Raw genomic sequence first — 14,963 nt, forward strand, 5'->3', positions numbered from 1 at the left:
GAAAGGTATGGGCACATGACTACGTAATACAATGCAGGATCCTTGACTGGATCCTAATGGGGGACAGGGAGTTGGGGGTGGGGAGGCTACAAATAACATTTTCATGGGAAAATTTTAAAAAGGACTGCATATTGGGTTTTACATCAAGTTTCCTGAGTGATATAATTACACTGTGATTATTCTATGTAGGAGAATGCCTTTTTCCTTAGGATAAATATGTAAAGTATTTATGGGTGAAGCATTACTGTGTCTGTAAGTAACTCTCAAATGGTATTGTCACAAAAAAAGTCATATATAGAGAGACAGAAAGTTATAAAGCAAATTTGTCAAAATGTTAATAACAGGTGGTTCTAGGTGAAGGGGGGATGGGTGTTCATGGTATTGTTCTCATACCTGTCTGTAGGTTTGATACTTTTCAAGATAGAAAGGACTATAAATCCTTTAAGTATAAAAAATGTTTTTAATTTCTACAGGTTCCAACTCCCTTCCATTAGAATGGAGAACAAAGAGTTGACTCAAAAATGCCTCAAAACATTCTTTAATACTATTCCCATTCACAAATAAAGGAATTTATTTGCCAAAGAGAAACTGAATTTCAAGTGCACAAACCAAGTCAGCCTCTATCCCACACTGAGTTCCTGAGTTATTATATAAATTAACACAAGTTAGATGTTATTTTTAACATAAACCTTCCATATGTTGTTGGATACTTTACCTGAATTCTTTATTTTAAAGGGTGTATTAGTACTAAGGAGTTTTACACAAATACCAAGGGTTAATGGCAAATTTACTTATTTATAGCTAATACAGAGAGACAGCATGGATAAACCACATGTAAGACTTATTGTGTAAGACTTATTGTTTTAACTAGTAAATTTTAATTTTAATCAGAACTATTAGTAAAATTGACAAAATTTCATCTCTATCTACTTTCATTCCTAAAGAAGATTCTATTTAATAACAAAAAGGAAAGAAGTGAAATGAAAATATCCAAAGTACTCAAGTATGAATACTTGACCAAATGAAAACTGACTTTAATGCAGGCAAACAGTTTTTGAGAACCTACTATGTACAAACCTCTATGAGGAATTCAAGGTACAAAGAATGGGCCATGCACCCATGAGGACCACAATTTTGTAGGAAAAGACAAACATTTAGAACACTGAAGGAAAAGAATAATGGTTGACTCTGTCTCACCTTGTCCCAGCTGCTAATGCCTCAATTCAAAGACTTATCTCGGCCGGGCGTAGTGGCTTATGCCTGTAATCCCAGCACTTCGGGAGGCTGAGGCAGGCGAATCACGAGGTCAGGAGTTTGAGACCAGCCTGGCCAATATGGTGAAACCCCGTCTCTACTAAAAATACAAAAAACTGGCCAGGTGTGGTAGCTCACGTCTGTAATCCCAGCACTTTGGGAGGCCAAGGCGGGCAGATCACGAGGTCAGGAGATCAAGACCACCCTGGCTAACACGGTGAAACCCCGTCTCTACTAAAAAACAAAAACAAAATTAGCCAGGCGTGGTGGCGGGTGCCTGTAGTTCCAGCTACTCAGGAGGCTGAGGCGGGAGAATGGCGTGAACCCAGGAGGTGGAGTTTGCAGTGAGCCGAGATCGTGCCACTGCACTCCAGCCTGGGCGACGGAGCGAGACTCTGTCTCAAAAAAACAAAATTAGCTGGGTGTGGTGGCAGGCGCCTGTAATCTCAGCTACTCAGGAGGCTGAGGCAGGAGAATCACTTGAATCCAGGAGGTGGAGGTCACAGTGAGCAGAGATCGCACCACTGCACTTCAGCCTGGGCAACAGAGCAAGACTCCATCTCAAAAAAAAAAAAAAACTTATCTCCTAGTCAGTCCACTGCAATAGCCTCTGAATTCCTTACTCCATCAGACCCCTCTAAAAGAGTAGTTCTCAAACTCAGATACGCACTGGAATCACCTGGGAAATTATCAAAAATCCAATATCTGGGCCTCTCCTTCAGAAAATCTGATTTTACTGTTTGTAGCCTGGGTACTGGTATTTTTATAAGCTCTTCAGATGATTCTAATACACAACAAAGTTTGAGCACCACTCAACCAACCTCTGCTGCTGGAGTATAGAGTACAAACCACTTTCCTGCATTAAAACCTCTGATGACTCCTCACAGCCAACACAAACCCAAACAACTCACCACGATCTTTAAAGCCTTTCTCAACATCTCCAACCTATCCCTCCTCCAGCCCCTCACCTACCAGTACTCCATGGCTCTCCACCATACTCCAGCCAGAATGAACTTATCATTTGCCTCTGAGCCCCCAGCAACACATTTCTTATGCATAAAAGGCTCTCCAAACTCACAAACACTAATCTCAGTCTCTGATTATCAAACTCCAAATCAATTTTCAAGTACCCATTTAAAAGGTCTTCCTTTCAAAAGCCTTAACCTACTCCCCTGGCTTAACGGTTGATCCTTCTTCTTGAGTCTTAACAAAATTTGGACATAGCTCTAATCTGACATTGATCATGATGCTTGTAGTGGCAGTTTACCTTTCTGTCTCTTCTAACACAAAGTGCATTCCACAAAGGGAGAGATCATGTGCATTCCCAGGGCACGTGAATGACTGAAACACAATGAATTTTCAATAACTGTTTGCTAAATAAATGGGCATCACACACTTGTGGAATAAATGAATAATATAAGAAAAGACAAAGGCAATTCAATATGAAATGCCCAATTAGTTACAGAGGGAAAATCTAACCCAAGAAGTGCTGTGGGGAGAGAGATTGCTTCAAGCTGATATGGAAAGAGAAGGCTCCATGAAGACACGGGTCTTGCTCTCAAGTCTCATGGAAGGAAAATATCTGGATGGGCCAAGAGGGAGGGGCAGAAAACAATAAGCATGGGAAACAGTACAAAAGTAGACCATTCCACAGGAAAAAAAAAAAAAAAACACCTCATTAAAAAAGCTCAGTGCTTTAAAGCAAAGGTTTACTTGCTTACACTATGTAATCATTACATATTTCTTTAAAAAGAAAAGGTATCTGCCTAGAAGGGACACACATCACTTCCACTGAAATGTCAATATCCAAAGCAAGTTACACAGCCATGCCCAATTTCAAGGTGTGAGAGAGAATGTAACCCTACTATGTGTCCTTAAGGAAGAGAACCAGAATACTGGAGTCCTAATGACCACACGATGAAAGAGTCTAGCACCATACCTGGCACATAGTAAGCACTCAGTGATTGACAGCTATTATTATCATGATTACTGAGGGATCTGGGGAAAAAATCTATCCTAATAACCCTAAGTCATATAAGCACATGTGAAAAACATCTTATGCACATTATTTAAAATAAAGCAAAGGTTAATTTACAAGCATTTTACCGTGATAAAAGGGAGGGATATGCCAAAAAGTTTCCATTAAGCAAAAAAATAGTAAACAAGATTTACCAAAATAGTACAACAAGCATTTTACCGCGATATGAGAGAGGGATGTGCCAAAACGTTTCTAGTAAAGAAGAGCTATTAAAATACCCATTCTTACTAATTTAAGACATGTAATATTTCACTGATAGTATCTTTATTATTTTAGAGAACATTAAGAAAATTATGGAGCCTTTCACATGTTCACTCCTAATCTCAGAGCACAGCTATCCCATATTTCCCCCATGAATTTTTAAGGGAAATTCTCCTACGTGGGTTTTCAGGACCCTAATCCTTGGAGGTTAAGGGAAAAGTCCTATACAGCAAAATGAAAATTGAATTCTAATCAAGGCTTGACCACAGATCAGCTCTGTGACCTCACAAATATTTACATGACTAGGACCCCATCCCATTATGAATAATGAAAATGGATAGATGTCTTCAGAAGTACCTTCTAACTCTACTCTTCTGCAATCCCGACAAGATAGAAAGTAGCTTTGGTTTCAGAGAATCTAGTAATGATGGTGACCTGTGTAAGACCCGATAACACTTAAATCTGCCACAACCACACTCATAAGGGCAACAACAAAACTTAGTTCAAGAGTAAATATGCAACACAGTCAAGAACACACAGGGAGAGCTCTGCTACATGAAATGCTGCAGACACAAAGTGCAGATAAAAATGGACAGAGTGTGGTTATTTTGTGTGTAGCTTATGAAATCACAATATTTTAGTAACATCTCATACAGCATTCCAAGGACAAGTGGCAGTGATGAGAACAAACCTGAAGTAAGGAACCTCCAAACCTTTTAAGCTTAGGATCTGTCCAACTATCAGATCTAAATTTCAGCACACTGGGCTTTCCACTTCTTTAAAACCCTACAGCAAGAATTCAAATACATGCCCAGAGAGCTGGGTGCAGTGGCATGTCTGTAGTCCCAGCTACTCAGGAGGCTGAGGCAGGAGGATCATTTGAGCCCATGAGTCTAGCCTGGGCAACGTAAGAGACCCAGTTTCTATAAAACAAAAACAAAAACAAAATACATGCCCAGAGATCTAGAACTTGACATCCTTAGAAGAAAGTCAGACAAAAAAGCCAAAGCAGCAAGTTACAAAATGTTGTGCCCCATAATCAGTGACACTTGTGTCAAACAGAAGCACCTGCCCAGACAACCTACCGCCACTCACTGCTTTGTGAGTATACAACCACCCTTACAACAGAATTAATGAGAAAACAGTGCTGATCTGTAATGAACACCAAGGAGAGACTATATAGCATTAACTCATGCCATAAACAAAACAGACACTGCTGCATTATAAATTTTGCTACACTGGCAGCCCTATCCGTGATTTTTAAGGAACCTTCCAATTTTAATGTTCTGTGAGTCTATAAACCACATAGGACACCCGTTACTGTCTCTCATGCTTCAAGAGTCACTGCCTAAATGACTAACAATTTCCTGCTTGAAAATCTAAAACCTGGTAAATATATCTAATAAAACTGCTGTATGATTAGACTCACTTTGTTACGACTGGACAGTATTTTTAAAGCTACAACTCTGCATGTGGATCTGTGTTTCCTTTTTTTTTCTTTTTTCTTTTTTTTTTTTTTTTTTTGAGATGGAGTCTCACTCTGCCACCAAGGCTGGAGGGCAGTGGCACGACCTTGGCTCGCTGCAACCTCCGCCTCCCGGGTTTAAGCGAGTCTCCTGCCTCAGCCTCCCAAGTAGCTGGGATTACAGGCATCTGCCACCATGCTTGGCTAATTTTTGTATTTTTAGTAGAGTCAGGATTTCACCATGTTGGCCAGGCTGGTCTCGAACTCCTGACATCAAGTGATCTGCCCACCTCACCTCCCAAAGTGTTGGGATTACAGGCATAAGCCATTGGTGCCCGGCCTATGTTTATTTCTACAGTAATTTCCTCCTTCTTGTCAATCACAACATAATTTTCAATTTTGCAATAGATTTTGATGAATATACTACAATCAATCTTATCATTGATTTTTAGGAGTTTAAAATTTGTATTCCCCATTTACAAGTAGATGGGGAGAGGAGACGGAGAATATGCAACCCCGAATGAACCAAAGAAATTGCTTCTATTAACAAATCAATTTTTAAACATATTGGAAAGGGAGGAGAGGATAAGACTCAGTCTTTCAAGGGAGGCTTGGTAAATGTTATTTTAAAAAAACAAGATTCCCTTCATAAAGTTAATTGATAGGCCGGGTGCGGTAGCTCACGCCCGTAATCCCAGCACTTTGAGAGGCCGAGGCGGGCGGAATACAAGGTCAGGAGATCGAGACCATCCTGGCTAACATGGTGAAACCCCGTCTCTACTAAAAATACAAAAAATTAGCCGGGTGTGGTTGCAGGCACCTGTAGTCCCAGCTACTCCGGAGGCTGAGGCAGAATGGCCTGAACCCAGGAGGCGGAGCTTGCAGTGAGCTGAGATCGCGCCACTGCACTCCAGCCTGGGTGACAGAGTGAGACTCCGTCTCAAAAAATAAATAAATAAATAAATAAATAAATAAATAAATAAAGTTAATTGATAGATAAACCTGAAATACTTTGTATGGTAAAAATATCCATTACTGGTCTAAAGTAATGGGAAACCCTATAGTCAGTAGTTTGTATTGAGAACAGGAGAACTACAGTGTTATACTTAAAAGCTGCCTATCTTCAATCTTAGTATGAAAGAAAAAAGCTTCAAAAGTCATGTTGAAAGACATCATGCATGTTAGTAATAGACAGGAAGGGTCATAAGTCCCCGCTGGAACAGCTGCCTTGCTTTTTGTAAAGCCTTACAAGACACATCTAAATTTATTCTCTGATCTTACTATTTTCTGAACATTCAAATCAACTTTCAGATAAAAATAAAGAGGCAAATATAAATAGATAAATAACTATCAATTTTTATTATACGGCTTGCTTAGACTCATTTTAGGTTAAAGGACAATCTTGTTTCCTATTATATTTTCCTTCACAGACACAGAAAAAAATCCACCTTTGCTCCAAAAAGGGTAGAAATGCTAAAGGGTCTAGAGCTGTGCTGTCTAATACTGGTACGACTGGCCATGTATGGCTATTTAAATTGAAGCTAATATTAAATAAAATTTAAAATTCTCATCCTCGGTCATACTAGCCACATCTTAAGGGCTTGAAAACCATCAGTGGCTAGTAGTTCCCGTGCAGATATTGGACACCTCCATCATAACAGGAGGTTCTACTGAACAGTGCTGATCTAGAACAATGTTTCTCAAATTTTGATGTGCACAAAATCATCAGCATAGCTTGTTAAAACACAGACTCCTGGGAACCCTAGGTGGTCTATTTCAGTAGGTCTGGAATGGGGCCCAAAAACTTGCATTTCTTTTTTTTTTTAAGACAGAGTCTCACTCTGTCACCCAGGCTGGAGTGCGATGGCGTGATCTCAGTTCACTGGATCTCAGTTCACTGCAACCTCCGCCTCCCCGGTTCAAGCGATTCTCCTGCCTCAGCCTCTGGTGTAGCTGGGATTACAAGCACATGCCGCCATGCTTGGCTAATTTTTGTATTTTTAGTAGAGACAGGGTTTCACAATGCTGGCCAAGCTGGTCTTGAATTCCTGACCTCAGGTGATCGACCTGCCTCGGCCTCCCAAAGTGCTGGGATTACAGGTGTGAGCCACCGCACCTGGCAAAACTTGCATTTCTAACATGCTCCAAAGTAATGCTGAAGTTTCCCAACACTTTGATTAGTGAAGAAGTAGTTTTTGGTTTTGCTCTTTCCCAATCTATGGCCAAGACTTTCATAAAACACCAGAAAAATGAATTTCCAGGAAAAAATAAACAAAAAAGGACTACAATTATAAACTGTTTTTATAATTAGATTCAACAAACCATTTTTCTAACCATCTGCTATAAAAGCATCTACATGCTTCTTTTCAAGTTCTGTACTCACCTTGTCAGACAGGTAAGCAGACCACAGATCTGCAGGAATCTGTAGACTACTTTCAGTAGCCTGATTCACAAGAGCTTATTTTTTTACATTTTTACACTTATCTTTCTGGAGCTGGTCATTAATGACCTCTTTCATATCCTCTATCATTTCCTCAATGCATTTTTACAACTCAAGGCAAAACTGTTAATTCCATTAAGCAAAATACCCCTAAATCCCTTAAGTGATATTATACCAGGTTTGCTTAAAGAAGCAATCTAATGGTGTCATCACTTACAATGTGATCTGATTCTATCACAGGATCAACAATAATGATGGCTTAACTTTTTCATGCAAGCCCATAGTTGAATTTAGACTGCCAGCAGTGCAAGAATTTCTAAGCCAAAATACACAATGAGCTATAATAAAGTCTCTGTGTTAAATTATGTAAAATTCTTTCCGTAAATAAAATCTATGATCTAGACTTAGCTTACCAGACATAATCCTTCAAAGTATTTCTTAGAATACTGATAGTTTTTCTTGGACCCAAAGTAGATAGAGTCCAGATATATTTCTTTACTCATATACACTTAAGGAAGGAACAAACCAAATAATCAAGTCAATGCCCTTCGCAATCTGCCTAAAGCTTAGGTATTTTCCCTAATCTAATTATTATTATCTATTATTAAACAAAATAAACTGATTTTTCTTCTATTCAACTTCTGGTCTGGCCCAACAAAAAAAATCTCCAGAATAACTTTAAGTTTGACCACCTCCTAGAGTTACTCTCAGAATTTTTTCATTACTCTAATATTGTTTTGGCAATTTGCTTGACTTATTAAGTAAATAATAAGGCTCTGAGAACTTTAATATAAAATCCTTTTTATATAATAACACCTGGTTTTATATGTATGTTCTCTGTAAAATTTTTAGCAGTCTAAAAATAAGCTTTTATGTTCAACTACACATTATTTTAAGGAAGAACTCCACTAAAAATTAGCACTAATGGAAGTTGCAAAGCATTTCATAAAAGTCTGGGGAATATAAAAAAATGGAGGGCTTCTTTTAATTCTTCTTCTTCAATGTAAGAAAGAAAAACCCTTTTCCTCCTAACATATTGAATGAAGCAATAGCAGAATTAGTAAGAAGCAGTATTCAAAGCAAGAAAATGTCAGGCACATTTGCCATGGCCTCCCCTCTAGTCCCATCTGCAGAGGCAGATGTGTGAAAAAGAGAGGCTGAGGACCCTCTAAGAGCCTCCATGTCTCCCACTCCAACCTTTAACTCTATCAGGCTGCAAGGGCAAGGGCAACGAATGGCTTCCATGTGATCATGTGATCACAGCGAGGGAAGAATTTGGGGGATAACCCCAGGGAATGCCTGAATGCTGCCAGAGGGATGCAGTTCTTCCCCAAGCCCAGGCCAAGTGATCAAGGCTGAGACTGCTAAAGGACAAAAAAGGTCCAAAGAAGTCAGCATCCAGGCAGAAGATTTTGTTCATGCAAAGCAGTTGTTCTAGAATGACCTAAATTAATGATCCTTAGTATGTTTTGTATGCTGGTGGAAAGGTATGGCGATAGGGGTATGAGAGGCACAGATCCGTTTGAGAATCATAAAAAACAATGGATTGTCCGCCTATAAAATACGCAGATGCAAACAAAAATTTGCATACTATTTTGGGGCGTTCACAGACCAGCCAAAGACTCCCTAGGGGTCCACGAACTGCAGGATAAAAAGCTTAAACCTTTAGGTAGGAAGTAAAGATGTCTGTTACTACAGTAGCTGGAACTTTTAACCTGAAGCCAGGCTTTTACATAAAAACAATCTTAGAGTATAAAAAAAAAAAAAATCTAAAACCAAAATACCTTGGTCACATAGTATATAAGAAAATCCAAAATATATTAAAAATTTAACTACTTGATAAAGAATAACATATTTGATCCATAAAATGCGATCAGCGACTATCCCTTATAAGTATCCTCAATAAAGGGGTAAAAAAATGGAAATCTCCCTTTACTTATTTAGAAAATTCAAATATGCATCCATCACTTTCTACTTATGTTTGGATTCCTGTCCTGGTTATCTTACAATTCTACTTCCCAGCATCCTGAAATTTTCAAATACTGTCTTAGTATATTAAACTCTTTTGAAATAGATAACAAAAGCACCATGGGAGTCCGTTGAAAACTTAGGTTTGTTCCTTGCTAAAATTTCTAAGTCCTTCATTATGACTATAAAGAAAAAAGGTTCATCAATTCAAAAAAAAATCCTGATTCTTCAAAATAGGAGCTATTTAAGTTACATCATATACACCCCATTACAAATTCTAAAGGTTGCAAAACAGAACAGTGATGGCAAACAACATAATGAATAAATGTAAGAGGATGCACAGAATCACTATTTACTGACTATAAAAACCAACAAATACAGGTACTACAGGCAAAAACAAACATTTTTCTTTGGATTTTATGCAGATGATTTAGTTCAGAAACAGGGACAAGCATGGATATTTTAAAATAACTCCATTTTACTACCTTCAGGACTTTTATGGAAGTAACAGAATTTCTCATGAGGGTATCAACGCCTCCACAACATGAACCAAAGAAAAGAACATTTTGGCAAAGGAAAAAGTGACTGCGTTCTCCCTCTGCACTTCATGGTTATTACTGTACCAGGGTACACCTGAACTCCTAAGTGCCCCAGGAAGACCACTCCTACTCCATGGAGACAAAAGTGGGGAAAAGGGTGTCCTCACTGTATTCCAACACTCCTCTTCAGTGACAAATTCCTGAAACGGAAAAGTAAAAATGGATGCACGTGTAGAACTTAGGGAAGGTGTGTTAGCTAATTAACCTAACACCATACCACTAAAATACAACAGTACGCTTGAGCTTTTAAAAAAAATCTTTAGAGAGAACTACTGGTGAAAAGGACATGTATTGGATACAGATGATCAGGGTCAAATTCTGGCTCTATCACTGACTAGCTTTATGGCCTTTAATAAATTACTTCATTTCTCTGAGCTGCAGCCCAGTCTCACGAAGTGGCTATGAAAACAAAGATATTTTTCCCAACTCTGTAGCCCCAGTATCTGGCTGAGTACTGGACAAACACCAGGTATTCAATCAATGCTAGTTCTTTTTGCTCCACTCACAAGCATGTCACATTCCATTGCAAAAAAAAAAAAAAAAGTTCTCTAGGGAAGAGGTATCTCAGCTCTGGCTATCATTTTATGTATTTCAAAGAGTTTTCAATATAATAACCTGGTACAGGAGAATGCAGGCAATCCTATGGAATTCACTCCACCTTTCACTTGAATTAAACTAAAGCTCTGCATGAGCAATGAAGTATAAGAGAATCATTAAATATGTATTAAAAACAAAACTATTTCAAGCCTTCTTATACCAGGCGGGGAAAGGGGAAGGAGGGAAGTAGAGTGCAGCCTCCTCAGTTGATATGTATATACTGTCATTGTCCTATACCAAAGATATTTCTGCAGGTAGAATCTTTGAATCCTTAAACTTGTTCAAAGAGATTCAGAACATGGGTGGTCCATGAGTGATCTCATTTAGTAATTACCAATTAAAGTCTTTCCATGAAAAACATAGGCACCTACAGGGAGAATCAAGCCTGATGTTGTGGAACCTCATGGTATAACACAGGAAGACATAACCACAAACGCTGCTTCGGGCAAAGCCATACTTCCAAGAAAACCAAAACATTTCTTCAAAACTTTTATAAACCAAGGAGCTCTCCAACACATAGTAGCCCAAGGGCCGCCTGTTGTTTCTGATAGGTTTTCTGCAATTTCACAGCAAAATCACAAATAAGATGTGGCTTCTAATGAGATATGATTCTGCTTCAGGTTTTCTTTGGTATTTGAAATATACAAAAAGTAAATCAATAAATACAAAAACATAACTGCCAAAGGTTCTTCCAGAAATGCAGCAGTTAGTCGTATTTCTCCCACTTCACTTCTAACTTGTCTTTCAATTTTTGTGTGGTTTGCCTTAACTAATACACTGATGAGTTCAGAGAACTTCCCCAACTACATGAATAATAAATTATAAAAATTATAAAGATATAGAATATTTAAAAGTTGTAAAAATGATCATATTGAAAGAGTTTGCAGTGCTATTAAATGTAACAGAAGAGCTAAATGTGAAAAGCAAAGAAATAGCTGCAGAATAAAAAACGTGACTCCAGGAAGACTGTGATACCACACTGAAGCACAACTCAATTTCGCAACAGATCTAGATTTACTTCGCCCATGGCCAGACTACACCAAGAACAGTACTATGGTCTGGTTACTATTAGAGAGACTCCAAAGCAAACAAAACGGTGGGGAAAGATGTGTGCAGGATAGCTTTTAGTCACCCACTAATCAAGAAAAATGTTTAAATTCAAAAGAACTTATAATTCATCTATGAAATCTGCCCTGGAACAAAAATAACTCCAAAATTAATAATCTTACCACTCCGCATTTTCCCAAGGCCTTTGGTTATAAAGATGCATTGCTTATATGAAACCACCTGCTCTGCTTGGCATAAATCATGTTACTTGAGGATTCATGCCTAATCATTTTATCAAACACAGATCTCAAATCTTCTTTCTGTTGCCAGAGAGCCATAAAGTTCACAAAAACTCTCTCTCTGAGGTTGCCAACCTGATTTTCCAATTTGGCTGACAGTCAAACTCGACTGTGCCATGAAATCAATGGGACAGACCCCCAATAAGTTACACAGCTCACATCAGCCTAGGGAGCAAAACCGAGTGGTCTGCCCCGGTGTTTTTTCCCCAAACGCCACAAACATATTTCCACAAAGTACATCAAAATTGGGGGCCCATTGGGATGGTACTCTTACATACCATCTGGGAAACAATAATCAAATTTCAGGCAATATTTCAGACATCCTGAAAACTGTAAATATTTAAAATGTGTATTTTCTGTGTTCGTGGATCTGCCAGCAGAAACGAGGAGTTTTCAGGGGGTGGGAAATAAGGCACACACACAGCCCCAGAGAGATGCTCAGAGATGCCAAGGATTCACCAGAAACCTTGGCCAGATTACTAATGGTCCATAAACCCTAATTTGGAGAACAGGGTCCTACGAGCTCAAAATTGAATTATACTGCCTTATTAGATCCCACACGACTGAAACCACAGTCACATTAGTCATAACTGGAACTAGGAATACTTTATGTACACAAATATAAAGTGCCTGCTTATGCATTTTTAATTGTATCAAATAAAACTGAAGCTGCAAACAAACTCAAATTTCAATTATCTCACTAGTGAGGGGATTTCCTAATAACGCCTTTAAAAAAAACCAAGTAGCTGCCAACCCTCTGCACATCCGATAGGCATGTCCCTGGAAATCTGGGCGCAACGGACTCCGTTACTTCTCAACAGCGAGGAAAATAAATACCTTGAAGAGGACAGATAGATCTTTTTTTAAAGCTCCAACATGCGATCTAATAATGCACAAAACTTGGCAGCGGGGTTGCAGGACCCCTCCTGGGCTCCAATTTTCGGGGCGAGTGCGCGCTAGTGCGTAAGAAGGGGGCGGAGGGGGTGCGCGATCCGAGGCCGCGCAGGGGCCCCCGCCCCCTCCCGGAACAGCAGCCTGGCACCAGCCCACCCTCCTCCACCCCTGCAAACAGACGCAGGACGCGAATAGAGCAACTTCTCCGCGGGGGCGGCGGCGGGAATAGCGGTCACCCCCGCCCCGCCCCAGCGCGGCTGGGCCCGGGGGTCCCACCGCGCCCGCCCCGGGGGGGGCCTCGGCACGCCCCGCCCCCGCCCGCCAGGCCCGCGGCCGGGGTCTGCCCGGACCCCCGCCCCTGCGCGCGGCCCGCAGCGGCGCACTCCCAAGGACGGCCGCCCGGCCCGAGCGAAAGCGGGAGCGGGAGCAGTAGCCTGGCGTGGCAGAGGCCGCCCCTCTCCCCAGGCCGCAGGCCGCCGCCTGCCCTCCGCCAGGCCGCCCGCCCGCCGGCCCCGCTCGGACCCCAGCCCGGCCGGGCCTGGACGCCGCCGCAGCCCCTCATCCCGGCTCCATTCATAGGGGCACCCTAACCCGGCCGGCGGGGCGGGGCCGGGGACCCGCGGACAAGGCCGGTCCGCCGAGGCCAGGGAGGAAAATAAAAAGTTAAGAGAAGAACTTACCTAAAATGGCTCCTGCAGCAGCCAAAATACAAACAGCTATTATTTGGTGAAGTTTAGCTCAGACACCCTGCAAGGACACCCTAACCCATCTCGGGCCCGCCTTCCCTGTCGCGCCATTGGGCTTCGCCGGTCCAAAACACAGACCCATTGGTCATCCCGGCTGCCGCTCAGACAGAAGCCCATTTCAAGCTTGCTTGCAGGGGCGAGTGATGGGCTCGCTCCATTGTGCTCGTATTTGCATGGATGTGATCGCGGCCTTGATTGGCCGGCGCTGAGACCGCCCCGCCCCCTGCCTCGTGCCCCCCGCCTTGGAGACGCCGCTGCGCTCGGCCCCGCCCCCCCGGGACTAGCGGCAGGGCCACGGGGGCGGGGCGGGGCCGGGGTCCCGCGGGCCGAGGGGGCGGGGCGGGGTCCTGCACGCTGCAGATCGCAGGCAGGGGGCGGGGACCTGGCGCGCTCGGGCGCCGGCGGGGGTTCAGCGCCCAGGTGGAGGTCTCTCAGGTAGCTGGCTAGTGATCTGGAAGACCCGGGGCTGGCGTCTCCGGGGGTGGGGGAGGATGTGGCTGGGGTCCCGCGACACAGGGGTTCCGCAGGGGCCGAGGCCACGCGGGCAGATGCAAGGAGAAGCGAGGGACCCGCAGGTCAGGAAAAGAAGATCCTGAGTGGCCAAGCGAACGGAGCAGCCTCCACCCGCGTCTTCTGCCGCTCAGCCCGGCTCCCTGGTACTCCTGGCTCCCAACGGGCTTCTTCCCAAGGCCCAGCGCACCCGGGAGTTTTCCAGCCCCGGGGACCCTGCAGCGCCTTGGATAGATCTCCGTGAAATCAGGTGTCGAGCTATGGTGCATTTATTTTCGGGCCTGTCGCCCCTACCATCCTTGTAGCATCCTCAAGGACAGGGCCCAGTGTTTGGCAGAGATTCAACTAATTGTTACACTCTCGAATTCATTCGTTAGCAGGTAATCTTTGAGTGCCCACTAAATTCCAGACATTGATATAAAACGGGATATTGCGGTCAACAAGACAAAGCCCTTGCTTTCATGGAATAGGCGAAAGACTAAATACAAGGGGTAGGTAGTGATAAATGCTGTAAAGAAAATAGATGGAAGAAGAAGGGAAATTAGACCAGGGTTTAGGAATTAGGAAATTCCTAAATTATGAAAGGAGGTATGGAGAGTTTGCCCTGCCTGGCTGAATACTCTGTATGGCGTCTCATTACTGCCCCCTCCCACCCTAACCTTGGCAGTCACCAGCCCTCCTCGCGCCCTGCTTGCCCATCGTGTTTTCTAAGCACCCACTAAAAAACTGATTGGATTCTGACTGTAGAGGCTCATTCTACCTCAAAGCAGAAATGATCTGAGTCTGATGATTCTAAGAGCAGTTTGTGGGATACATTTAGGATAAGCACATTTTGACTGTGTCAGGGGCCATGATAATGATTTAGCAGAGGCTTACTAACTCCAGAGAGAGAATATTTTTAGCTT

General features: G+C 42.2%; 1 protein-coding gene across 6 annotated transcripts in view, besides 3 other annotated features; it reads right to left on the reverse strand.

Moving 5' to 3' along the window:
* Window positions 1-13,520, reverse strand: part of CHD6 (chromodomain helicase DNA binding protein 6) — a 216,295-nt gene extending 202,775 nt beyond the window's left edge. For all 6 annotated transcript variants that reach the window (NM_032221.5, XM_047440549.1, XM_047440545.1 and 3 more), the window contains exon 1: window positions 13,483-13,520. The gene's annotated coding sequence lies outside the window, so the exon portion shown is untranslated. The remainder of the gene's footprint in view (window positions 1-13,482) is intronic.
* Window positions 12,828-13,047: a silencer, noted in NCBI's record as "silent region_12920". NCBI's record gives its function as "represses an Ori minimal core promoter by ATAC-STARR-seq in GM12878 lymphoblastoid cells {active_cell/tissue: GM12878}" and the evidence as "EXISTENCE:reporter gene assay evidence [ECO:0000049][PMID:35858748]".
* Window positions 13,238-13,497: a silencer, noted in NCBI's record as "silent region_12921". NCBI's record gives its function as "represses an Ori minimal core promoter by ATAC-STARR-seq in GM12878 lymphoblastoid cells {active_cell/tissue: GM12878}" and the evidence as "EXISTENCE:reporter gene assay evidence [ECO:0000049][PMID:35858748]".
* Window positions 13,658-14,077: a silencer, noted in NCBI's record as "silent region_12922". NCBI's record gives its function as "represses an Ori minimal core promoter by ATAC-STARR-seq in GM12878 lymphoblastoid cells {active_cell/tissue: GM12878}" and the evidence as "EXISTENCE:reporter gene assay evidence [ECO:0000049][PMID:35858748]".

The sequence above is a fragment of the Homo sapiens genome, chromosome 20 (genome assembly GCF_000001405.40).
Source record: "Homo sapiens chromosome 20, GRCh38.p14 Primary Assembly".
Classification (NCBI taxonomy): Eukaryota; Metazoa; Chordata; class Mammalia; order Primates; family Hominidae; genus Homo; species Homo sapiens.